At 44.5% G+C, this 24,878-nt stretch overlaps 1 protein-coding gene across 6 annotated transcripts in view, besides 8 other annotated features; it reads left to right on the top strand.

Annotated features, from left to right (window-relative positions):
* Positions 864-1,064: a silencer, noted in NCBI's record as "peak4916 fragment used in MPRA reporter construct". NCBI's record gives its function as "represses an SCP1 promoter by STARR-seq MPRAs in K562 erythroleukemia cells {active_cell/tissue: K562}" and the evidence as "EXISTENCE:reporter gene assay evidence [ECO:0000049][PMID:32103011]".
* Positions 15,209-15,278: an enhancer, noted in NCBI's record as "active region_20802". NCBI's record gives its function as "activates an Ori minimal core promoter by ATAC-STARR-seq in GM12878 lymphoblastoid cells {active_cell/tissue: GM12878}" and the evidence as "EXISTENCE:reporter gene assay evidence [ECO:0000049][PMID:35858748]".
* Positions 18,464-18,563: an enhancer, noted in NCBI's record as "active region_20803". NCBI's record gives its function as "activates an Ori minimal core promoter by ATAC-STARR-seq in GM12878 lymphoblastoid cells {active_cell/tissue: GM12878}" and the evidence as "EXISTENCE:reporter gene assay evidence [ECO:0000049][PMID:35858748]".
* Positions 18,844-19,743: a silencer, noted in NCBI's record as "silent region_14884". NCBI's record gives its function as "represses an Ori minimal core promoter by ATAC-STARR-seq in GM12878 lymphoblastoid cells {active_cell/tissue: GM12878}" and the evidence as "EXISTENCE:reporter gene assay evidence [ECO:0000049][PMID:35858748]".
* The window catches only part of SKIL (SKI like proto-oncogene), a 39,135-nt gene continuing 34,147 nt past the window's right edge, over positions 19,891-24,878 (top strand). For 2 of the 6 annotated variants that reach the window (NM_001248008.1, NM_001145097.2), the window contains exon 1: positions 21,799-23,605. In NM_001248008.1, the coding sequence (NP_001234937.1) occupies positions 22,508-23,605 (1,098 nt within the window). In that variant the 5' untranslated portion in view covers positions 21,799-22,507. Of the gene's footprint in view, positions 20,822-21,798; positions 23,606-24,878 lie in introns of those variants that run through there. The other 4 variants (NM_001145098.3, XM_005247721.2, XM_006713735.2 and 1 more) reach the window with 4 other exon arrangements.
* Positions 19,904-20,133: a silencer, noted in NCBI's record as "silent region_14885". NCBI's record gives its function as "represses an Ori minimal core promoter by ATAC-STARR-seq in GM12878 lymphoblastoid cells {active_cell/tissue: GM12878}" and the evidence as "EXISTENCE:reporter gene assay evidence [ECO:0000049][PMID:35858748]".
* Positions 20,184-20,313: a silencer, noted in NCBI's record as "silent region_14886". NCBI's record gives its function as "represses an Ori minimal core promoter by ATAC-STARR-seq in GM12878 lymphoblastoid cells {active_cell/tissue: GM12878}" and the evidence as "EXISTENCE:reporter gene assay evidence [ECO:0000049][PMID:35858748]".
* Positions 20,404-20,473: a silencer, noted in NCBI's record as "silent region_14887". NCBI's record gives its function as "represses an Ori minimal core promoter by ATAC-STARR-seq in GM12878 lymphoblastoid cells {active_cell/tissue: GM12878}" and the evidence as "EXISTENCE:reporter gene assay evidence [ECO:0000049][PMID:35858748]".
* Positions 23,983-24,483: an enhancer, noted in NCBI's record as "H3K4me1 hESC enhancer chr3:170079595-170080095 (GRCh37/hg19 assembly coordinates)". NCBI's record gives its function as "activates a minimal SCP1, AML or CMV promoter by ChIP-STARR-seq in naive H9 embryonic stem cells {active_cell/tissue: H9 hESC(naive)}" and the evidence as "EXISTENCE:reporter gene assay evidence [ECO:0000049][PMID:30033119]".

The raw sequence follows: 24,878 nt of genomic DNA on the forward strand, positions 1-24,878 counted from the left end.
TTCCTCTATTTTGATGTCACAGTCTCCAAAGTTACAGAAAAACCTGCATTTAAGAACACCTGTTAGAGTTCTATAATTGATTATAAACCACCTTCTAAAGAGGATTAAAACAAGACAACACTTGTCTGTGGAAGATAAAAAGTTTTAGGATAGCCGCTATTAAAGCCACAATTGACAAGGAAATTTGGTTACTTCTGTGGCACACAAAATTTTACATAACAATTATAATTTCTGATAACATACACTAAGTCATATTAGAATTACAGGAGTTTCCATAACTTTGGAACTTATACCAATAACACATTTATGCAAATATAGTCCAAAGAAAGCAAAATACCATTCCACATTTGATAATGCTTCCTGTATGATTCTTATACCAAATAAGCCAAATTTCACCTTCACATTAATGTACTATTAATGTTAAACCCAATTTTTAATAAAACCTTATAGACATATTTACCCAATTTTAATGTTTAGCCGTAAGGTAAGATTCTTATAAACCTTTTATAACCCCTTCTTTTTTTTTTTTTTTTTTTGTGAAAGAGCAGATTAGTGCTCTAAGAAAAACCTGTTGTGCTTTTATTCCAATATTTAATTTATGGAAAAACTGAATAATACCCCTTTAACTTTAGTCAACATGTTCACATACAGAATTTCTTAAAATTAATTTTTATAAACCTTCCATAACTTGTTTAAACCTTTAGCTTTACTCTAAGTTAAAACAATTCTTTAACCCTTTAGGCAATAAAACCATATTCCCATGCCTTGTTATAATCTTTTACCAAAAGTACATTCTACTTTCCTTAGACATCTTACATGTAAAATTGTTTATTCAATAGTCTCAATTACATGTCACAATGTTAACTTTTAGCCACTTCTACTTTTGGTGAAAACCCTGGTTAGTAAGCCATTTTAATTGTGTACTAGGTGTGAAGCTTAGCCTAGGACATACCACACAGAAGTGCAGATAAGGGCTGACTCTCCAGCATAGCTAGGGGGCAAGGCTAACTCCACACAGCCCCAGGCCTTACCTTACTTAAGCAGGCAAGTTGTACAGTAAGAGTCATAGTGGCATTTTATGAAGCATTTAGGAGACCTAACAACCTTTGAATTGTACATTTCTTGCATAAATTCCCTTTCACGACTTACACAGACCATCTGAGACATTCTTGGACTTTGTGACTTGCCCTAAACTTCCCTCCTTTTAAACAACCCATCAATTTACTTTAGAACAAGAATTTATCACACAAGATCTTTTCTTACATAAAATCTCTTTCTTTATAATCTTCTTTGTATAGCTAGGGGGCATGGCTAATTCCACATGTCTGCAGGCCTTATCTAGAATCTAATGGCTTTAAGATATCCATTGAACAATTTTTAAAAGTTAAAGAAGCAGTTTATGACCTTAAAGCATTTAGCAAACTTAATATTTGACCTGTATAATTTAGACTAAATGTTTTATCAATAATTTTTAAAGCTGTTTTTATTTCCCAAAGATTACTGAAGTCACATGAACTAAAAGGCATTACAGTTTGTGTTTTGCTTTCAAAATATATATATATATTTTTTGAGCCAGAGTCTCACTCTGTCACCCAGGCTAGAGTGCAGTGTGCAATCTGGGGTCACTGCAACCTCTGCCTCCCAAGTTCAAGTGATTCTCCTCCCTCAGCCTCCCGGGTAGCTGGGACTACAAGCAGGCACCACCATGCCTGGCTAATGTTTGTATTTTTGGTAGAGATGGGGTTTCACCATGTTGGCCAGGCTGGTCTTGAACTCCTGATCTCAGGTGATCCACCCACTTCAGCCTCCCAAAGTGCTGGGATTATAGGCATGAGACACCGCACCTGGCCATGCTTTCAAAATATTTGATTTAAGTGATTATTTTTGTTTAAGCCAATTAATTAGAGCTTTTTTGTATAAACATTATACACAACACATATACAGGTACACAGAAAGACAGAAGAAGATTACTACAGTAGGTGTAAGATTTTTCATTTGCCAGTTTTTAAGTTTCTTTTTTTTTTTTTGAGACAGAGTGTTGCTCTGTCACCTGGGCTGGAGTGCAGTGGCACAATCTAGGCTCACTGCCTACGTTCACACCATTCTCCTGCCTCAGCCTCCTGAGTAGCTGGGACTACAGGCGCCCACTACCATGTCTGGCTAATTTTTTTTTTTTTTTTTTGAGATGAAGTCTTGCTCTTGTTCCCGAGGCTGGAATGCAGTGGCACTGTCTCGGCTCACTGCAACATCCCCCTCCCGGGTTCAGTTGATTCTCCTGCCTCATCCTCCCAAGTAGCTGGGATTACAGGTGCATACCACCACATCCAGATAATTTTTTGTGTTTTAAGTACAGACGGGGTTTCACCATGTTGGCCAAGCTGGTCTGGGATTCCTGACCTCAGGTGATCTGCCCACCTCGGCCTCTCAAAGTGTTGGAATTACAGGCGTGAGCCACCGCGCCCAGCCAATTTTTTGTATTTTTTAGTAGATTCGGGGTTTCACTGTGTTAGTCAGGATGGTCTCGATCTCCTGACCTCATGATCCACCTGCTTCAGCCTCCCAGACTGCTAGGATTACAAGTGTGAGCCACTATGCCCGGCCTGGTTTTTAAGTTTCTTAATTGCATTAATGGCTTTATGGTGGAGCCCTTGGAAGAACATGGCCAGGAAAGGGGTCTCCTGTGCCTCCTGTTTTTCCCAAGGAGTCCAGGCTGTTAGAGCTTGAATATCCACTTTTAATTATACTGATTTTAACCATAGCACTCTTTATTAAAGTTCCTTTAGAATTTCTTATGCCAAATGGCAGATATTTCTGGCTTTTTAAACTTACCAAAGGTAATCTCCCAGGTACATAGAGAAAGGAAAATGTAAGACAGTCTGTGGAGGAGAAGAGAATAGACAAGTTTACGCAGATATTAAACCAGAAACGACTTACTTCCTAGGTGGGGAATCAAACCTGGACCACCACTGTGAAAGTGTAAAATCTCAGCTTCTGAGCTACAGCATGGGCAGTCCCCACTTCTTTTCCTGGAACGAGCCTAGAGTAGTTAATTTTGAGCTTCCAAAGGCTTTTTAACAATTTAATATGATTTTTAGAGATGAATATGATATAAATCCTAAAATTCCTGTTCCCTGATGGCAGAGACCAAAATAAAGTACTGCCACATGGTTAAAAGGTCAGGCTCCCAAGAACATAAAAAAACGTGGAGACTTCATCCAGTTTTTTTGTTTCAGGGAGCTGCAGCCAAGCTTGTTACTGACCAGCTTGCTGGGTGGTCTTGAAAAGTGGGCTTACAGGTGTTCCAAGTCCGTGTTTTATCCTAAAGTACCCTTCAACACAGAAAAACAAATTCATAGCACAAAATACACCAGCTTAAGATTAGCCTTAGAATTCTTTTCACATTAATCAAAACTTTACAGAGGAAATAAGCACTGGTTTTTGTTTGTTTGTTTGTTTGTTTTGTTTTGTTTTAACCATTCATCAAACCATCTGTACAGAGAGATAAGCCAGAAATCTGACTGGTAGGAAAATTCTTACCCTTTTGCCAGCACACCAGGCTTCTGGGTTCCCTTTCCCTGAGCAGCACTACTGATCAGGCTTGTGGCACCATCGCCCTGGGGGCCAAGCCGCATCATAAAGGGAAATTACATTTTTTTTCATTTTGGCCAGAGCAAAATATGTGTGATAAAACATAGACATTAGCCACTCTGCTTAGCAACCAATATCAAACTGACAAGGCTTAAATTTGCCCCCAGATGAACCTCGTCATTTTTTGTTTGTTTTTTGTGTTTTGTGACAGAGTCTCACTCTGTTGCCCAGGCTGTAGTGCAGTGGCACGTTCTCGGCTTACTGCAACTTCTGCCTCCCGGGTTCAAGCTATTCTCCTGCCTCAGACTCCCAAGTAGCTGGGATTATAGGCGCCCGCCACCACACCCAGATAATTTTTGTATTTTTAGTAGAGATGGGGTTTTACTATGTTGGCCAGGCTGGTCTCGAACTCCTGACCTCGTGATCCCAAGCCTCAGGCTCCCAAAGTTCTGGGATTACAAGTGTGAGCCACCATGCCCAGCCAGGCCCGTCACCTTTGATCCAACCTCTGATTTGGAGTTTCAACACGTGGTCTCTGGGCAAGATGGTTGCCCTGAGTAACAGAAAAGAGAAAGGAAAATTAGAGAAGGAAAGTATTATCTGCGGCAGGGTGGGGAAGGTGAAGAGCTTAGGGAGCCAGAGAAAAGACCCACTCATTGCAGCCGACAATGAAAAGTTCAGGCGGCCGCTTGTCAGTAGCAAAGGGATCTTTTCCAGCAGTGCCATCAGCTCTCAAGTTTCCCCTTCTGGGGAGGAAAAAGCTCCCCATGTTCCATGATCCTGTACATGCCTAACACTGTCACCCACAGCCATCAGCAAACAGTGCAAAGCAGATTAATCCAAAGAGAATAGCATCCCATAGTGCCGAACCTGTTCTTAGCCGAGAGGGCCTTTACTGAGAGGGGCCTCCAATACCCTAAATCTTAGAAGGGACTCTAACTCTTCTAAGTTGGGCCTCTAACCCTAAGGTCGGAGAAGCGTTCTTGTCCTTTTTCTTCAGACAGAGTCTTGCTCTGTCACCCAGGCTGGAGTGCAATAGCACTATCTCGGCTCACTGCAACCTCTGCCTCCTGGGTTTACGCTATTCTCCTGCCTCAGCCTCCTGAGTAGCTGGGATTACAGGTGCACACCACCACACCCGGCTAACTTTTTTTATTTTTAGTGGAGATGAGGTTTCACTATCTTGGCCAGACTGGTCTCGAACTCCTGACCTTGTGATCTGCCTGCCTCAGCCTCCCAAAGTGCTGGGATTACAGGCGTGAGCCAACATGCCTGGCTGCATCCTTGCCTTTTATTAAGAGGGACCTCTAATGCACTTTGTTTTAGAAGAGACTCTAACTCTCCTAAGTTTTGGCCTCTAACCCGATCCCATTCTTTATCTGGGTACCCCATCACTTACCCAAAGTCGTCCAATCAGTGCTGCAGTCTATTTCCTTTGGGTCAGGGGGTCTCCTCAGTATTGTCCCTTTTGTGGTTCATGAGAAAGATGTTACCAGACCCCAACACTTACCCAAAAGTAGCCGCTGGGTCGGGGGTTTCTGCACTGTAGTCCCTTCTGTGGTCGCCAGAAATATGTTACAGGACAGGGGTCCTGATCCAGACCCCAAGAGAGGGTTCTTGGATCTCACGCAACAAAGAAATCAGGGCAAGTCCGCAGTCCAAAGCGAAAGCAAGTTTATTTATTTTTTATTTCATTTCATTGAGACGGAGTCTCACACTGTTGCCAGGCTGGAGTGCAATGGCGCCATCTCAGCTCACTGCAACCTCTGCCTCCTGGGTTCAATCTATTCTCCTGCCTCAGCCCCCTGAAGAGCTACGACTACAGGCATGCCACCACACCCGGCTAATTTTTGTATTTTTAGTAGAAATAGGGTTTCCCCATGTTGGCCAGGATGGTCTCAATCTCTTGACCTCGTGATCTGCCGCCTCGGTCTCCCAAAGTGCTGGGATTACAGATGTGAGCCGCAAGTTTATTAAGAAAGTAAAGAAATAAACTGGGTGCAGTGGCTCACACCTGTAGTCCCAGCACTTTAGAAGACCGAGGCGGGCGGATCATCTGAGGTTGGGAGTTCGAGACCAGCCTGACCAATATGGAGAAACCCCGTCTCTACTAAAAACACAAAATTAACTGGGGGTGGTGGCCGTGCCTGTAATCCCAGCTACTAGGGCGGGGGGGCGGGGTGTGAGGGCGGGGGGAGAGGGGGTTGAGGCAGGAGAATCGCTTGAACCCGGGAGTCGGAGGTTGCGGTGAGCCGAGATGGCACCATTGCACTCCAGCCTGAGCAACAAGAGCGAAACTCCATCTCAAAAAAAAAAAAAAAAAAAAAAAAACCAAGAAAGTAAAGGAATAAAAGAATGGCTACTCTATACACAGAGCAGCCCCCGAAGGCTGTTGGTTGCCCATTTTTATGGTTATTTCTCGATGATATGCTAAACAAGGAGTGGATTATTCGTGCCTCCCCTTTTTAGACCATATAGGGTAACTTCCTGTCATTGCCATGGCATTTGTAAACTGTCATGGCACTGGTGGAGTGTAGCAGTGAGGATGACCAGACATTGCTCTCGTGGCCATTTAGGTTTTGGAGGGTTTTTGGCTGGCTCCTTTACTGCAACCTGTTTTATCAGCAAGGTCTTTATGACCTGTATTTCCTGCTGACCTCGTATCTCATCCTGTGACTTAGAATGCCTTAACCGTCTGGGAATGCAGCCCAGTAGGTTTCAGCCTTATTTTACCCAGCTTCTATTTTACATGTAGTTGCCTGTAACTGGTTCACACGCCTCTAACGATACCACTTGTAAGTCAAAGTTATGAAGAAAAGAAGGTGTACTTGGCTACCTGGGAGCCTGAGGACTTTCTGGTTGCAGTTACGGTTTTCCTTATAATCCACCACCTCCATGTGACTTAAAGCTAATGGAATGGATATCTACTCATTAACCAAAATTATCTGATTAAATTATATGGACAGGATGGATGAAAATAATGACAAAGTTTTTTGGTTTTTTTTTTTTTCTCTCTCTCTCTTTTAGTTCTGAGATCCTCTTGGTACAAATACTTTGTACTAAGATGAAAGTCATCTTAGTGTTTATAAGGTGGACATGGCACTTCTATTTGTACGCAAAAGGAATCAACAAATGACATATTAACCAGAACTTTCAGTTTATCTTTCTCTTATCCTGGACTTCTCTCTTTCCCTCCCTCTCTCCTTCCCCTCTTTCTTCCCTGTCTCATAGCTGAAATGAGAGCAATGAGAAATTTAAGATGGGAAATAAAATCAAACTAAGGGTATAGTCAACACACAATCGCAGCTAGCGGTAGCCTACAAGTGTGATCCTGAGCTTCTAAGGAGCTGGGGAAAAAATGTGATTAATAAGAATCCTCTTAGGGCTGGGTGCGGTGGGTCACGCCTGTAATCCCAGCACTTTGGAAGGCCAAGGTGAGAGGATCACCTGAGGTCAGGAGTTTGAGACCAGCCTGACTAACATGGTGAAACCCTGTCTCTACTAAAAATACAAAAATTAGCCGGGCATGGTGGTGTGTGCCTGTAATCCCAGCTATTTGGGAGGCTGAGGCAGGAGAATCACTTGAACCCGGGACGCGGAGGTTGCAGTGAGCCAAGATTGTGCCAGTGCACTCCAGCCTGGGTAACAAGAGCAAAAAAAAAAAAAAAAAAAAGATTCCTCTTAGTTTTTGCAAGACAGAAGCAAAGCAGTTAAGGCCCAACAGAAACTTCTCTCATGGCTTCTCATAAAGAAAACACCGAGTCATCCTCAACCAACAAAAGATAGGTGGCTCCTTCTTAGAAAATCCCATATACAGATAGAGAACATAATGCCAAAAAATCCTCTTCAGAAAGGGAACTCTTCATGTTTTAAGTTTGAACATTTCTGATAGTCTGATTTGATCCAAGGGAAAAATCCAAGGAGGGAAAAATAACATGTCTAAAGAGTAAATGGCCTTGCAGTCCTCCACGCAGTCTTTGATGAATAGCATTCCTCACAATTGTGCTTTGATAAGAATTAAAGTGCAGAGAACTTATATCCTGAAGAACAGAAATTCAATACAGCTGATTAACAGCTGAAGCCTACTTCTGACATTTTGATATTTGAACAATAGATGGAGCAGAGATTATGATTGGTATCATTTTCTGAAGCAAGAAGCCAAACCTGGAGAGGCAACATAAGAAGATCTTCCAGTTTAGGTAGAGATCTCAGCTGAATATCTAAGCAGGTGTGATGCTGCTGGTGAGGTCACAGAGGCCTGCAGGAGACTGGACTCTTACTTCCTATTTATTATGGCCCACCATGATCTCTGCAATACGTATGTATTTAGTGAATGGCCTCAGAAGTCTGCATCAGTGTGGATGATTGTTTACAACTAAATAATTTTGCAACATTTATTAGCATGTTGTTCTCCACTTTCGTAAAATGCAGTATTTATTTTATTAATATGTATTTTAGAATGTGTAAAATATTTAAATATTGAATACTGAAGGCCTGGCCTTTGTCCATTCAGGAGAAGCTGACTAAAGCACATTTAAAAAATATTATAGACCGGGCGTGGTGGCTCACACCTGTAATCCCAGCACTTTGGGAGGCTGAGGCGGGCAGATCATCTGAGGTCTGGAGTTCAAGACCAGCCTGATCAACATGGAGAAACCCCATCTCTACTAAAAACACAAAATTAGTTGGGCGTAGTGGCGCATGCCTGTAATCCCAGCTACTCGGGAGGCTGAGGCAAGAGAATCGCTTGAACCCAGGAGGCGGAGGTTGCGGTGAGCCGAGATGGCGCCATTGCATCCAGCCTGGGCAACAAGAGTGAAATTCCTCAAAAATAAATAAATAAAAAATAATAATCATTAAATAAAGGTATTATATAGAGCTTTATTTGAGAAACTGGTTTATCTAAAAATTGACAAAGTGGTTGATGGAACTTCAGGGTAGTAATTTCACATTTACATTAACCTTTAATGAGACCATGTGGTTTCTTTAAAATCTATATTACCTGTGCAAAAGAAACCTATTCATTAGAAATCCAGTCTCTGATTTTGGCAACAGAGCCAATATTTATTTCCCACAGAGGCCAATTCTAGTAAGCTTTAAATCCAGGATAGTTAACTTCGTGAGAATAGTATCAACACTTATTTCCCCTGCTGTCAATTGAAAGAATATGTTGACCACCTACCGTAACTAATTTAACTGGGAAGTGGTTGAAACATTAATGAATAAAACAACAGTGTTGTTAACATTTTTTTCTGGAAAATAACTTTAATACATTAGGCATATTTGCAAATAATCATTTTACTGCCTGAGGTTTTAATATATAACTTAATATATAACTCATTTATAAGGGAAAATGCATAAATTCCACTTGGCTAACTAACTCCGTCTTTTCCTGTTAAATTATAAAAAGAGAAAGTCTAATTGGCCTAATTAATCAGTATTAACCCTCTGGGCTGGGCTTTTTGGGTCAGGCTAAGTCTAGGTTTTTGGTTAGACTATGGTTCTGGTCCCTGCTCCTGACTCATTCAGCAACCATCCTTTGCTCAGAGAATACCCTAAGGCCAGAGTAAGTGAGTGAGATGGTTTCTGTTAGAAGAGGATGGAGGAGTTGCATGCATCATGATTGAAATAATTCAATTAGAAAGTTTCTAATTTTTTGTTATGGTAAATGCCGTTGATGCACATATTTGTTATACATCTTTTAGCATTTTTTCCACTCTCTTTGTTAGGATACATTTCTTGGAATAATTGTTGAGTCAAAGGATTTGAAATTTTTTTTTTTTTTTGAGACGGAGTCTCACTGTGTCACCCAGGCTGGAGTGCAGTGGCATGATCTCGGCTCACTGCAACCTCCACCTCCCGGATTCACCGATTCTCCTGCCTCAGCCTCCCCAGTAGCTGGGACTACAGGCATCCGCCACCATGCCCGGCTAATTTTTTGTATTTTTAGTAGAGACCGGGTTTCACCATGTTTCGATCTCCTGACCTCGTGATCTGCTCGCCTCGGCCTCCCAAAGTGCTGGGATTACAGGCGTGAGCCACGGCGCCCGGCCTGACATTTTTTTCTTTTTCTTCTTTTCTTTTCTTTTTTTTTTTTTTTTTGAGATAGGGTCTTGCTCTGTCACCCAGGCTGGAGTGCAGTGGTGCCATCTTGGACCATTGCAACCTCTGTCTCCCAGGCTCAGGCAATCCTCCCACCTCAGCCTCTGAGTAGCTGGGACCACAGGTGTGCAGCACTATGCTAGGCTATTTTTTTGTATTTTTAGTAGAGACGGGGTCTTGCCATGTTGCCCAGAGAGAGAGAGAGAGAGAGAGAGAAACAGAGAGAGAATTCCAGAGTGCTCCTTTTACTTAATTATGCCAATTTTGCTAAAGAGCATTTAAAAAACTACTTTCAAGGTGGTGGAGCAGCGGGCCTATCTTGGACAGTCGGGCCTGTTCCTTCTCTTAGGAAAGTCTGCATTACACTTTTGTCCTGCCTGCCTGAGTGGCCAATCTGAGTGACCCTGCTGCCACCATTGTCCCTTGGTCACCCTTTGGGTAGGGGAACTGTTCCCTCTACTTTTTCTGTATACTTCCCTTCACTTGGTATAGAGCATCTTAAACTTGAGAGGACAGAGAAGCACTTGGGAGCTTGCTTAATAGAGATTAAAGGAAGAAAGCCGGGCACAGTGGCTCAGGCCTGTAATCCCAGCACTTTGGGAGGCGGAGGTGGGCGGGTCACCCTGAAGTCAGGAGTTCAAGACCAGCTTGGCCAACATGGCGAAACCCCGTCTCTACTAAAAATACAAAAATTAGCCAGCCATGGTGGTGCGCGTCTACAATTCCAACTACTTGGGAGGCTGAGGCAGAAGAATTGCTAGTACCTAGGAGGTGGAGGTTGCAGTGAGCCAAGATCGAGCCATTGCATTACAGCCTGTGTGATGGAGTGAAACTGTCTCAAAAAAAAAAAAAGGGTTAAAGGAGGAAGATTCCTGCATTCTGATCCCTAATATTCTAATTTGGTAGTTCTAGGGCCCAAGAACCCATATTTTTAACAGGCTCCTTAGATGATTCTGGTGCAGGCACTTGGCAAATCCCACTTTCAGAAAAATTGCTCTGGTGCTTTGATGGGTACTTTTTGGGTAGTAAGAAGTCAACATGAGGCTGGGCACGGTGGCTTACACCTGTAATCCTAGCACTTTGGGAGGCTGAGGTGGGCAGATCACTAGGTCAGGAGATTGAGGCCATCCTGGCTAACATGGTGAAACCCCGTCTCTACTAAATATACAAAAAATTAGCCGGGCGTGATGGCATGTGCCTGTAGTCCCAGCTACTTGGGAGGCTGAGGTGGGAGAATCTCTTGAATCTGAGAGTTGGAGGTTGCAGTAAGCCAAGATCGCGCCACTGCACTCCAGCCTGAACGATAGAGCAAGACTCTGTCTCAAAAAAAAAAAAAAAAAAAAAAAAAAAAGGAGAAGTCAAGATGAAAAGTTTCCTATTTAAAAACACTGGTTGTGCTACTCTTCATTTCAGTAAGTCAGTTCTGGGTCTCATCAAACAACTTTCTTATGGGGATATTCAATTCTGAAGTGCCCAGTAGTACTTCCTAGGTAAGAATGCTGCTGGCCCTCTCATTTTCCTGCTATCATCCTTTAGATTAACCCATCTGTCTCATAGTCTTCCGTATCTAACCCCTCTGGTTCTCTGTTCTTATTAGGCCATGGCAGAATCCATTAAGGATCTCCACAGTTTCTCCTGATCCTACTTAGAAAATAATATTTTGAAGATATGTTCCTGGAACAGGTCAGGGAGTTGGTAGGGAGGTCATCTTGCTGTCTGCCAGAGACCTGGCCAGACCAAGGTTATCTGGGTTAATTAGAACCTGGCTCTTTGCCTTGAAGGTTCAGATACCCGATTTTGTCAACAAACAAGATTGATCTGGTCTGTGATGAGCAGACTCATCTTAACTAAACGTACAGCATTGGAAGCACACAACCAACATGCCATACATGGGTTTACAGTTAGAAAAGGAACTGGAGCATTTACACTGGCACAGAACTCCAGGTGCAAATGGTTTGAGTGCCCCATTATAATCACAAGCTTATTTCATGGGTAAAAAATCAGCTGGGTGCAGTGGCTCACACCTGTAATGCCAGTACTTTGGGAGGCTGAGGTGGGTGGATCACCTGACATCAGGAATTTGAGACCAGCCTGACCAACATGGAGAAAAACCATCTCTACTAAAAAAATACAAAATTAGCCAGGCGTGGTGGTGCATCCCTGTAATCCCAGCTACTCGGGAGGCTGAGGCAGGAGAATTGCTTGAACCCAGGAGGTGGAGGTTGCGGGGAGCCGAGACTGTGCCCTTGCGCTCCAGCCTGGGCAACAAGAGCGAAACTCCATCTCAAAAAAAAAAAAAAAAATTCAGAATAAGGGAAGGTAAACACCTGATTTACTTTCTGAATACATTGAGGCTGATTCTTTAATCTCCACAACTGAGATAATTTTGTAACCCTGCTGACGAATTATGCCTTTTGAAGGATACATTTATTTTGATTTGTTAATGCATCCAGTCAAATTTTACTCTGAACAGAGAATCATTTTCTCTCTTTAAAGTGACTTTGCCTCTGTCTGCTTCCTTTCCTCTTTCTTTCCTTCCCATTTTTGTTTCTTTCGTTTTGTTTGTTTTACAGGTAATTCTCAGAGAGCCAACTTAATATCCTTTTTTTCCTCAAGTTATTGCATAGAGTGGGAGGTAGGGACATAGATTGCAATTACTGGTTCAGGTACTTCACAGTTGTCCCCTAGTGTTTCTGCAGTACTCACTTCCAGTTTTCTTTTGATTTTCACCTTGCTCACGCTTGTAATCCCAGCGCTTTGGAAGGCAGAGGCGGATGGATCACTTGAGGTCAGGAGTTTGAGACAACCCTGACCAACATGGTGAAAAATTACCAAAAATTAGCTGGGCATGGTGGCATGCACCTATAGTCCCAGCTACTCAGGAGGCTGAGGCAGGAGAATTCCTTGAATCTGGGAGGCGGAGGTTGCAGTTAGCCAAGATCTCGCCACTGCACTCCAGCCTGGGTGACAGAGTGAGACCCTGTCTCAAAAAACAAACAAAAAAGAGAAAAAAGAAAAGAAAAAGAAAAAACCCTAAGAAACTGAATTTTTAAATATTTATTTTAATTAATTAAATTTAAGTAGCCACCTGTGGCTAGTGGTTACCATATCGGACAGCACAGCCCTCTAACCATTGAAAATAGAGAGTTACTTCTGTGACAGGAAGCAAATCGTAAAGTTGGTTTACTAAAAATACAAAAATTAGCCAGGCGTGGTTGCACACGCCTGTAATCTCAGCCACTAGGGAGGCTGAGGCATTTTTTATGTTTTGTTTATGTTTTATGCTTTATGTTTTTAGTAGAGACGGGGTTTCATCATATTGGCCAGGCTGGTCTTGAACTCCTGACCTCAAGTAATCTGCCCACCTCGGCCTCCCAAAATGCTGGGATTACAGGCATGAGCCACTGTGCTCGGCCTAGTTAGGGCTCTTTTGGCTGCAAGTAACAGAAACCCATGATGGCTAGCTTAAGCCAAAAAAGAGGATTCATTTAAAGGTTGCGAGAGCATCCAAGGACAGAAACACAGCTCAGCCTCTGGGACAAACTGGAATCTAAGACTTGAGTCTTATCAACACTCTATCTGCTCCTCTCTTGCATCTGCCTCATTTTAGTTTCTCTCTGCAGACTGGCTTACACTTCTTTTCTACTCCACAATAAGCAAGTATGACTGCCAATAGCTCCTGAGATTATGTTTCCTCCATTCAGTACACCAGCCAAGCTGAGACTAGACTCTTTCAGTGCTCATTCCAAACACTTCTGGGAGGTGATCATTGGCCTCACTTGGCTCAGGTGTCTATTCCTGGTCCAGCTGTCTGTGACTGGGGGCAAGGTCAATCATAGCTGCATGAAGCCCTGCTGTTATGGCCTTGTAGTCCAGGAGGGTGGGCAGAAGCCAGGAAAAGAAATGGGGGCTGGGCAGGCAACCCCAGGGAGGCCACTACAATTCTCATTCTACCATTTGGTGGCTCCCAATTACCTACTTTAGTCCTTCCCCTGAGCTTTCCCTCTCCTGAGCTATACCATGAATACACCCCAATCATCTCTTTATTTTATTTTACTTAATTTTTTATTTTTTTGAGATGGAGTCTTTCTCTGTCACCCAGGCTGGAGTGCAGTGGCGTGATCTTGGCTCACTGCAGCCTTTGCCTCCTGGGTTCAAGTGATTCTCCTGCCTCAGCCTCCCAAGTAGCTGGGATTACAGGCATGCACCACCATGCCTGGCTAATTTTTGTGTTTTAGTAGAGATGGGATTTCACCATGTTGGCCAGGCTGCTCTCGAACTCCTGACCTCAAATGGTCCACCCACTTTGGCCTCCCAAAATGTTGGGATTATGGGCATGAGCCACTGCACCCAGCCCCATTCTGAAGATTTCTACACCCTCTGCTAATCAAAGTTGCTTTATGTTGTGTTCCATCAAAATAGGACTCTATAGTATAAGTAATTAATCTGATATTGACAGCAAACTCCAGCAAAGATTCCAGATAAACTCAAAATATCAATTTTCCCATCTGATAAGTGGGGATAATATTGCCTACCTTGAAGCACTGTTATAAGGTTTAGAGATTAATAATAATAATAATAATGCTTACTCCCTTCCAAGTAACACATTTTCAGTTTTTTGTTTGTTTGTTCGTTTGTTTTATGAGATGGAATGTCACTCTGTCGCCAGGCTGGAGTGCATTGGTGTGATCTCGGCTCTTTGAAACCTCTGCTTCTCAGGTTCAAGTGCTTCTCTTGCCTCAGCCTCCCGAGTAGCTGGGACTACAGGCTCACGCCACCACTCCCAGCTAATTTTTGTATTTTTAGTAGAGACCGGGTTTCACCACGTTGGCCAGGATGGTCTCAATCTCTTGACCTCGTGATCTGCCCACCTTGGCCTCCCAAAGTGCTGGGATTACAGGGATGAGCCACTGCGCCCAGCTATTCTAGGGATTTCAAACACTATGTCATATTGCAGTGAAGGAGTTAGAATCTTTAGTGACCCACAAATCATATGACATAAACTTTGATATCCTATTTTTTTTTACCTCCATATTGATCCTACATAGAACTCAGATTCAAAAATCAAAGACAGCCTTTCTCACAATCTAAGCAAAGGATTTATCTAGCTGTGTGATCTTGGGCATAACTCTGTGCTTTTCCTCATCTGTAAAATGGGGCAATAATAGCCATTACCTCACATGGTTGTTATTAAGATTAAATGAATTATTATATGTAAAGTGCTTAGAACAGAACCTAGCAATAGTAAACACTATATAAATGTTAACATTGATTATTGTTATTTAATTCATTGTTTCTTAAACTGCAGATTACAATGCATTAGTAGTGGACTTAAATACAAAGAAACAGAATAAAATTGAATGATCAGAGAGCATTGCTCATAGTAAGGATAAGTATTACTGTGGGTTGTGATAAATGTACCCAACCTGTGAGTTTTAATATTTGCTCTTTTTGAATAATTTGAAGCAGTCCTTATAGCTTATTTGAATGTGCACAAGAAGACTGAGAAAACGAATGGAACTCCGTGGATGTGGGTCAAGTCCATTTGGTTTCAATGTCTGTTCTATCACCGATGAGCAATGTGGTTTAGCAGGCGACCTAAACTCTGTCTCAACTTCCCTTTTGTTAAAAAAAGGGGATTTCTTGTATGTATCTCATAAGAATAAGTGAAGCACTTTGAGCTACGTAGAGTCTAGCACTACTAATTCAGCATCTCTCAATTTATGGTTTGCAAATCATAGCTCGGCAATATCATAGAGCTGTTGCCAAGATAATAGTTCTTCCCATTTTTTTTTTTCCAGGAGAACGTCAGAGAAAAAAGTTTCTGATTTGCAATAAATTAAACTGCTTAACTTTCTAAACACTTATGAAATTCCTAGAATTGATAATGAAATACACTTAATGTGACTATTACATTGATTTTAGAATTTTTTGCAAATTAAATATTGAAAATTCAAACATTTCTAACATGATCTTTCTCTATTTTACCATATCTGGCTACTCCTTTTTGTTTTTTTCTCTTTCCTTCCAGTTGCATGGAGCCTAAGTTAAAGCCTGAAAAAACAGCTAGGCATGGTGGCATGCACCTATAGTCTGAGCTACTCAGGAGGCTGAAGTGGGAGGATTGCTTGAGTACAGGAGTTCAAGGCTGCAGTATGCTATGATCACATCTATGAACAGCCACTGTATTCCAGCCTGGGCAACATAGCTAGACCCTATCTTATTTAAAAAAGAAAAGAAAGGAAAAAAAGCTGGAAAAAAATAAAAGGAAGTGCTGCATGACACTATTCAGGGAGATGAGGTTAATAGTTTTTAAGCATGTGGTTTTCATCCTATTTTATACCTTACTATAAGGTATAAAAGTAGAAATAGGGACCTTGTAGATCCAGTACTGACTTGGCAGATAAGAGGAGAAAGCAGTCCAGAGGAGAAACCCTACTCAACGAGGGGAAGATACTGTGCATTGGCAGTAACAGTAACACAAAACAAGTATGGAGGAATAAAGTGTAAAGGGAAGAGGACAGGTACGAAAATGATTAAAGTGCTGTGAAGAAGTTATAGATCAGACCGGGTGCTGTGGCTCACGCTTGTAATCCCAGCACTTTGGGAGGCCAAGTCGGGCAGATCACCTGAGGTCTGGAGTTCGAGACCAGCCTGGCCAACATGGTGAAACCCCCTCTCTACAAAAATACAAAAAATGAGCCAGACGTGGTGGTGCGCGCCTGTAGTTCCAGCCACTTGGGAGCTAGCACCACTGCACTTCAGACTGGGTGAGAGAGCCAGACTCCATCTCAAAAGAAGAAAAAAAAAAGTTAAAGATCATAATTCCGAAAAAAAGAAATTAACGAAAAGCTACAGGAAAAAAATGAGATGGAAAAGGAAATGGTTGACATTCTTTTGTGAAACTGACCTCCTAGCATTTGACTTGCTGCTAAACAAACAAAACAAAACCTTTTAAACACATTTTTTTAAATCGAGGCTCAAGGAAGGAGGACTTTGGCAGAAGGACCATCAGAGACCATAACTGGTTTCTTTTCTTTGGAAAAGAGCAGAAGGTGTAAATGCAAACACAAGCCAGTGTTTGCATGCTCAATTAACATTTGAATTTCTTCCCCCTCCTTCATAAAAATAAAAATAATTTATGTTGAATTTTTGCATCTTACCCTATCCTTTCTCATTTCCATCTTCTTTGTAATTAATATTAGTGGGTCATTATCAACAGATCAGTAAATGGAGACAAAAGAAAAGCATTTGCCTCAAACTATTTATCAGGTCACAGAACAGAGCTGGCCTTCGAGTTTGTAACCTCTCCATTCTTGGTCTCTGTTATCAGACAGCCATAATTAACGAAGAAGACATTCTAGACTACCTAGTACCAGTTAATTTGGATCTTGTATCTGTACTATTTAATGGAAGAAGATGAAACAATAGGTAGTCCCCACCCCCAATCATTTGAAATTCTCATGCGCAGACAAGCACACTCTCATGGTGGTCTTGCTCAACTCCTGCTGGCAGCCAAGAAGGTGAGGTGGGAGGTCATGCAAAATCCACCTAATAACTACATAACTATTTGTTGACCAATCCTTTAATTGACTTTTCGACACTGATGAAGACCATGAGCCTGTGGAATTACAAAATTCATTACCTCGCAGTGCTTATTTTTTCTAAGGCCTGCATTTTCTGTGTCTGTGCAATTCTGTATTTGGAATAAAGAACCATTATCATTTGTGTTCAATGTCGTATGATACATACAATCAATTTTACTGATAACTTCTGAAAATCCTTAAGTAGGCCTGCAAAAATGTGCCTTCCTGTGAGCCTCCCCATCTGCCTCAGATCTATGTATAAATGGACCCCGTTCAGTTTCACTTGCTTTCAAACGCGTACCTTTGAGGTTTGGGAATTCAAGGACAAAATGATTTTAATTTGATGCATTTTGTACTTTGACCAATAAGGGAAAAATAAATGCCCTCAAATTTGATTGGTTCTAGTCATATTTGCCGGTCACTATTTGTCAAACCATTGCACTTAAAATCACAGGCATGAAAGATCTCTCAAAAACAGATTTCTGAGGAATGCAAATCAACAGAACGGGGAGGCGGATTAATGTGTTTGATTTCTCAAAAGTCTATTTACTGTCCAATTTATCTTCGTCCTTGGACATGCTAGCAAGTAATTATTCTTATGGCTGGTAAAATGACTGCTAAACATTTATTAATAATTGCAGTTTTGGAATTACTTTTTTATTAACCAGTCATGTTGGTTTCTAAAAATTGTTACTTCTGGCTAGACACAGGAGCCAGGTGCTGAGAGTTGACCTGGTGCCAAGTTTCAGGACTGTCCAGTCTTCACATCAGATCTTCAGCTAGGCCTTCTGAATATTCTCACAGTTAGAAAATCTATCCCCCTAGACTCGCAGATGCTGTTTTTCCCCCACTGGCTCTGCACAGAACATCATTATCTTTGCCACGCTTCTGTCTCTATGGCAATAACAGATGGAAAGTGCTGTGGAATTATTCATGTTCAGGAAAGGAGGCAGTCAAGAAGGAAGAAAAGGTGGGGGGGCGGGGTGGAGAGGGGGCACGACCTGGGAGCTCGGCGGTGGAGGCCTAAGGAAGGGAACTTGGGTGGGGGTGCGGGGAGTGGTGGGGATTGAGAGGCTTGTGAGCCTTTCGGAGGCCTGTTGTGAGGAAAAAAAAAATAAAAAGTACGAGCACAAGAGTATTTCCAGCCGGCCGACTGCAAATGTGGGCCCCCACAGGAACAACCCGAAGCAGTAAAACTAGAAGAAATTGGACGAAAATGGGGGGGAAAAAAGGGACAAAGCTCGAGTCTCCTGAATTTTGTGCACTGCTACTCGGTGGACTATTTCAGTTCCTGATCTTGTGGTGGGGTGGAGAAAAGGGGATTTCTTGGTGTTTCGAAATGTGACGGAGCAGCTCTGCAGAGTTCAATATGCTAATCGGCTACCCTGGGAACCAGGAAGACCACCCTACACGCCTCAGAGGGTCACAGCCGGAAAGCTCTTGAGTCCTATCTTCCCTACCTCGTCTCGTCCCTCTCCAAAAAAACACACACACAAAAAAACACCCTCAGTAAACACTGTAAAAACCTTTAATTTATAGCTCCCTTCTGGAACCGAGAGAGCAGCCTGGTGGGGTGGAGGCAGGAGGCTGGGGAGTAGGGACAGAAATGTTTGCTCTCGGTTTTGCCGGAACTTTGGCCACCCCTCCCGCCCGGCCCGATGGCGGATGGAGGTCAGCCAGGGGAAGGCGTCTGGGTGGAGGCCGCCCGGGCGAGGCCGGGGCCGCCGGGGCGGGGCGGAGCGCCGGCAGCTGGCTGGGCGGCCCTCGGGCAGGAGGCCCCGCGGGGGCGAGGGGCAGCCCAGGAGGGAGGTCCCGCGGGGGCGGGGAGCAGAGCCGGCCCCGGGGGCCCTGCAGGGCGGCCGCCGCCCGGCTGCCTCCGGGGCGGGGCGGCCCAGCTGCGGCCCCGCAGGGGGAGGGTCGCCCGTGCCTGACCTCGGGCGGCGGCACTCTGCCGGGCGGGCACTGCCTCCGCCCTGCCGGCTGCTGGGGTCGCGCACAGTGCACCGCGCGGCTGCCCTGCCCCCTCTTCCCCGCTGCGCGGCGTCCGAGCGGCCAGGGCGCCCCCGCGTCTGGCCCATCACCACAGAGCGGCGGGTGGGGCGGGGGCGGGGCGGTGGCCCCAGACAGCCGGCTGGGCGACTAGAGGAAGGAAGGAGGGAGGGCGGCGGTGAGGGTGGGGTGGGGAGGGAACATCCTGTCTGCGCCGGGTGCACCGCAGACAGCGCCGCGCGCCAGCTTCCCAGACGGCGCGCGGGGCCAGAAGCGCCGGGCGCGCGCCTGGGGGGAGGGGCACGCGCGCGAGACGACGGGGCCAGGGGGGCGCTCTGAGGAGCCACAATAGGCCAGACGGCACGCGCGTCCACGAGGGGGCCGGGAGCCGCGAAGTGGCGGCGGCGGCGACGACGCCGGCGGGCCCGCGCGCGCGGCGCCGCCGCTGGCTCCGTTCCCTTCCCCTCCCCCTCCCCGCCGCCCTCGCTCTCCCCCGGGCGGCCGGAGACGGCGGCGGCGTCTGCGGGAAGCTGTGTGTCTCCGCAGTGACGTGGGCGGGCCGAGGACTCGGTGACGTCAGAGGGCTGTGTGTAGCGATGTGTGTGGGGTTCGGAGCCGCGCCGGCACAGCCGAAGGGAGCGGGCGAGCGGCGACGGCGGCGGCGGCGGGCACAGGTGCGGCTCCGGCTTACGGCGGCGACGCGGCGGAGGCGGCGGGAGGCCAGAGGCGCTCACCCTCCTAGGAGCCCGACGGCGGCGACAGGGGCGGTGGGGAATTCACAAAGCTCGTCGAGCTTACCCGGGCACCGAGGCCCGAGTAGGGGGTTTGGATGCGCGGGTCCCGGGTGGGGTCGGGGCCAGAGGGGGTCGCTAGGCGGGTGTTCCACGGCTGATCACGCTTCGTTGGCCCCAGGCGGTGGGCGCCGGCAGGGCAGGGCGCTGTAGTTGACGGGAGCCGCGGGGACCCCGGAGACCCGGACGCCCGTCACCGCCCCCCTCCCCCAGTCCAGCAGCGCTCCGCGGGGATGCCCTGGTCTCGACCCGGTCCGTCAGCCCCCGGCGGCGCAGGGATCCGCGCCCGGCGCCTAAACTGCCCTGGTGTCCTCTTCGTTCTGGCCCGGGGCTGGCGCGGGGAGGTGCAGCATTAGGGGCGCTGAGGTGACACCCGAGAACTTCCCAGGGAGAGGGTGCGCGGGGGGGTGGATTTCCACAGTCCTTCCCGCGGCCCCCGCGGGGGGGCGGTGTTGGGAGGGCACTTGGGGTTATCCCAGGCTCGCCGGTGGGGGTGGGGGGACTCCTCCCTTTACTTCCCTCCACCCCCTTGCACACCCACCCCCAGGCTTCCCGTGTCCCTTGTTCTCCCTCTCTCCGGGTTAGAGATAGGTGGGTGGCTTTGAGTGGGCGGAGGACTTCAGGGTTTTAGGGGCTCCCCCATTCTAGGTCATGCCTCTTGCTCTCTTCCTTGGCCTGTGTTGAGTAAGGTGTGTTCCTGTGGTGGACGAAAGTCTGTACGATGGTTGGTGGCATTGGTCCTTAATCCTTTGGGTCTGTTTTAAGGTAAAGTGCTGAGAGTTTGGGAAGCAAAAATTTCTATTTATTGGATTTCTTTTGGCTTTTCTCTCAAGAAGGAAGTGGAAAAAGAGTCTTTTCTTTTTCCCTCTTCCTCCATTTGCATTCTTTGTGAGGTTTGTCTGCCTTGTGCTTTTTGTCCCGGATTAGTCTTGTTGAAGGATGGAGATTCCCAGGCGTGGAGTCTATAGCTTTTGGCTTCCATTAAGTAAAATCGCTAACCTTTTTTTAAGAGAAAGTTAATTTTTGCCTGCAGTCATTCCAGAAAAATAGTGTACACGGACTAGCTGAATTAATCCACTTAAAATTGTAACTTAGTTACATATGGTAGATATGTTAACTCCTATCTGATTTTTTTGGATGAAACTGTTGTTTTGTTTTTAAATAGGAGATGAAGTAATGGATTTTTTTCCCTCCCTTAAAATGGCATAGCTGAGAAAGCCCCGGTACTACTAATTGAGATGATCTGCTTAAGAGTCTTCATATTCTGAACTCGAAAGGCCTTTTATGTTATATTATTGCTCGCTTTACGCAACTCCAAATTGCTTTCCTATTTAAATGAATGTTCTTCTAGTAAACTGGTGTTAGATTTAAAGAAATCACTCAAGCTTCACCTTGGTAAACTGAACTCAGTTTAAGATTAAGAAACTGATTTCGGCCGGGTGCGGTGGCTCACGCCTGTAATTCCAGCACTTTGGGAGGCCCGGGCGGGCGGATCACCTGAGGTCAGGAGTTCAAGACCAGCCTGACTAATATGGTGAAACCCCGTTTCTACTAAAAATACAAAAAAATTAGCCGGGTGTCGTGGCTTGTGCCTGTAGTCCCAGCTACTCCGGAGTCTGAGACAGGAAAATTGCTTGAACCCGGGAGGCGGAGGTTGCAGTATGCCGAGATCGCTGCACTTCAGCCTGGGCGACAGAGCGAGACTCCGTAAAAAAAAGAAAAAAAAAAAAATAAAAGAAACTGGTTTCAAATTGGCCCTTTGGCCTCTGGAGCAAATTCAAATGTAACTCTTCCCCAACCCCCCTTCTCTTCTTCCAGATTAATTAAAAGAAGAATGAACTATAATCCTTGAAGATAACTGGGCAATTTTTTAAGTCGGAGGCTGTTCTTACTGGTGTGAGGATTTACACACGTCTTCAGTTTTTCAGCACAGACCAGCAGACCATCATTTTTAGAGGAAATACTCCCTCTGCCCTCCTTTTTGGTTTCCTTGGTGGTAAAGATTAAATTTGGTTGCATCATTTTGACTTGTGTTTGAGTCTAGATTTTATGGCACAAGGAATGGCATAAACTTTTCATGTGTTTTGGTTAAAACAAACCAGACCATTGCATTGACCCTGGACATCTTTAATTGAGAAATTGGTAACTTTATTTTAATATGTATATCTGAAGAATTCAAGAAAACAAAGGCATCCTCAGAGGTGTGCCTCTTTTCTTTATTATTAGAGGCAAAACGAACAATTTTATAGGATTTGTAGTGAAATTATACCAGATTATAAGGAGAACCAAAACTAAGTCGCAAAATTTATTAATTTAAGGGGCTCTCGCTTTGAAAGTTTGAGAGTAAGTTACGATAGGCATTTGTATCCATTCATTACTTTCCTCTTTTCAAATAAGCAACTAAATAGAAATGCTAATCTCAGACTTAATTATTTAACAGAAGAGTGTACCATGGAAAACCTCCAGACAAATTTCTCCTTGGTTCAGGGCTCAACTAAAAAACTGAATGGGATGGGAGATGATGGCAGCCCCCCAGCGAAAAAAATGATAACGGACATTCATGCAAATGGAAAAACGATAAACAAGGTGCCAACAGTTAAGAAGGAACACTTGGATGACTATGGAGAAGCACCAGTGGAAACTGATGGAGAGCATGTTAAGCGAACCTGTACTTCTGTTCCTGAAACTTTGCATTTAAATCCCAGTTTGAAACACACATTGGCACAATTCCATTTAAGTAGTCAGAGCTCGCTGGGTGGACCAGCAGCATTTTCTGCTCGGCATTCCCAAGAAAGCATGTCGCCTACTGTATTTCTGCCTCTTCCATCACCTCAGGTTCTTCCTGGCCCATTGCTCATCCCTTCAGATAGCTCCACAGAACTCACTCAGACTGTGTTGGAAGGGGAATCTATTTCTTGTTTTCAAGTTGGAGGAGAAAAGAGACTCTGTTTGCCCCAAGTCTTAAATTCTGTTCTCCGAGAATTTACACTCCAGCAAATAAATACAGTGTGTGATGAACTGTACATATATTGTTCAAGGTGTACTTCAGACCAGCTTCATATCTTAAAGGTACTGGGCATACTTCCATTCAATGCCCCATCCTGTGGGCTGATTACATTAACTGATGCACAAAGATTATGTAATGCTTTATTGCGGCCACGAACTTTTCCTCAAAATGGTAGCGTACTTCCTGCTAAAAGCTCATTGGCCCAGTTAAAGGAAACTGGCAGTGCCTTTGAAGTGGAGCATGAATGCCTAGGCAAATGTCAGGGTTTATTTGCACCCCAGTTTTATGTTCAGCCTGATGCTCCGTGTATTCAATGTCTGGAGTGTTGTGGAATGTTTGCACCCCAGACGTTTGTGATGCATTCTCACAGATCACCTGACAAAAGAACTTGCCACTGGGGCTTTGAATCAGCTAAATGGCATTGCTATCTTCATGTGAACCAAAAATACTTAGGAACACCTGAAGAAAAGAAACTGAAGATAATTTTAGAAGAAATGAAGGAGAAGTTTAGCATGAGAAGTGGAAAGAGAAATCAATCCAAGGCAAGTTTTTTATATCAATTTTTAATAATGGTAATGGTTTACTTTGAAATGAAAATTCTATGTTTAGTGTGTAACTTAACCTGTATGTTGAACATTGCTCATGCAACAACAACAAAATACCGATTGATATATTTGTATTGCAGTTTTTAGGCCATAAAGTGCTTTGCAGTATGTTTCCTCATTTGACTTTCCAAACATCCTGTGAGAGAAGTAAGACTATTATTCCGTTTTACAGATAAAGTGAATGAAGCTCAGAGAGATAAAATGACTTTCCCAAAATTATGTAGCCAGGGAGTGGAGGAGTTAGGGCTTCTTTTTTTTTTTTTTTTGTGCTTTTAGTAGAGGCCAGGTTTCAGCATGTTGGCCAGGCTGGTCTTGAACTCCTGACCGCGTGATCCGCCCACCTTGGCCTCCCAAAGGGCTGGGATTACATCCTTGAGCCCCTGTGTCCAGCCAGGGCTTCTTTTTCTTATCCTCTTTGGCACACATCTTGCTTCTTGACCACTACATCTGTTGTTTTTCTAGGACTCGATAATTTGCGCTTTGGTGTTATCTCCATTTGCAAATGGTACAATGGCCACAATTCCCGTGGGCTCAAAACAGCATTTTTCAGAGATACACCTATGATTTCTGATGTTTCTATGTTTGGATATTCAGGCTTGCTCAATATTTGAAACAAATGGAAAAGACATGTATCTGAAGAATTTGTGATTTGAAAGGAATAACAAAAAAAATGACAGCTAGAGTAAGGAAAAGTTATTTTAAACTAATAAAATATTAATATAAAAACCTGCCGGGCTCAGTGGCTCACACCTGTAATCCCAACACTTTGGGGGGCTGAAGTAGGTGGATCACCTGAGGTCAGGAGTTTGAGACCAGCCTGGCCAACATGGTGAAATCCCATCTCTACTAAAAATACAAAAATTAGACGGATGTGGTGTCGCACACTTGTAATCCCAGCTACTCAGGAGCTGAGGCAGGAGAATCGCTTGAACCCCGGAGGCGGAGGTTGTAGTGAGCCGAGATTGTGCCATTGCGCTCCAGCGTAGGCGTCGAGGGAAACTCCATCAAAAAACAAAACAAAACAAACAAACAACCTATCAACAGGTGGGAGCAATGAATGGCTCACAATCCCAGCACTTTGGGAGGCCCAGGTGGGCAGATCACTTCAGGTCAGGAGTTTGAGACCAGCCTGGCCAACATGGTAAAACCCCATCTCTACTAAAAATACAAAAATTAGCCAGGCATGGTGGTGTGTGTTTGTAGTCCCAGC

This window comes from Homo sapiens, chromosome 3, assembly GCF_000001405.40.
Source record: "Homo sapiens chromosome 3, GRCh38.p14 Primary Assembly".
Lineage (NCBI taxonomy): Eukaryota > Metazoa > Chordata > Mammalia > Primates > Hominidae > Homo > Homo sapiens.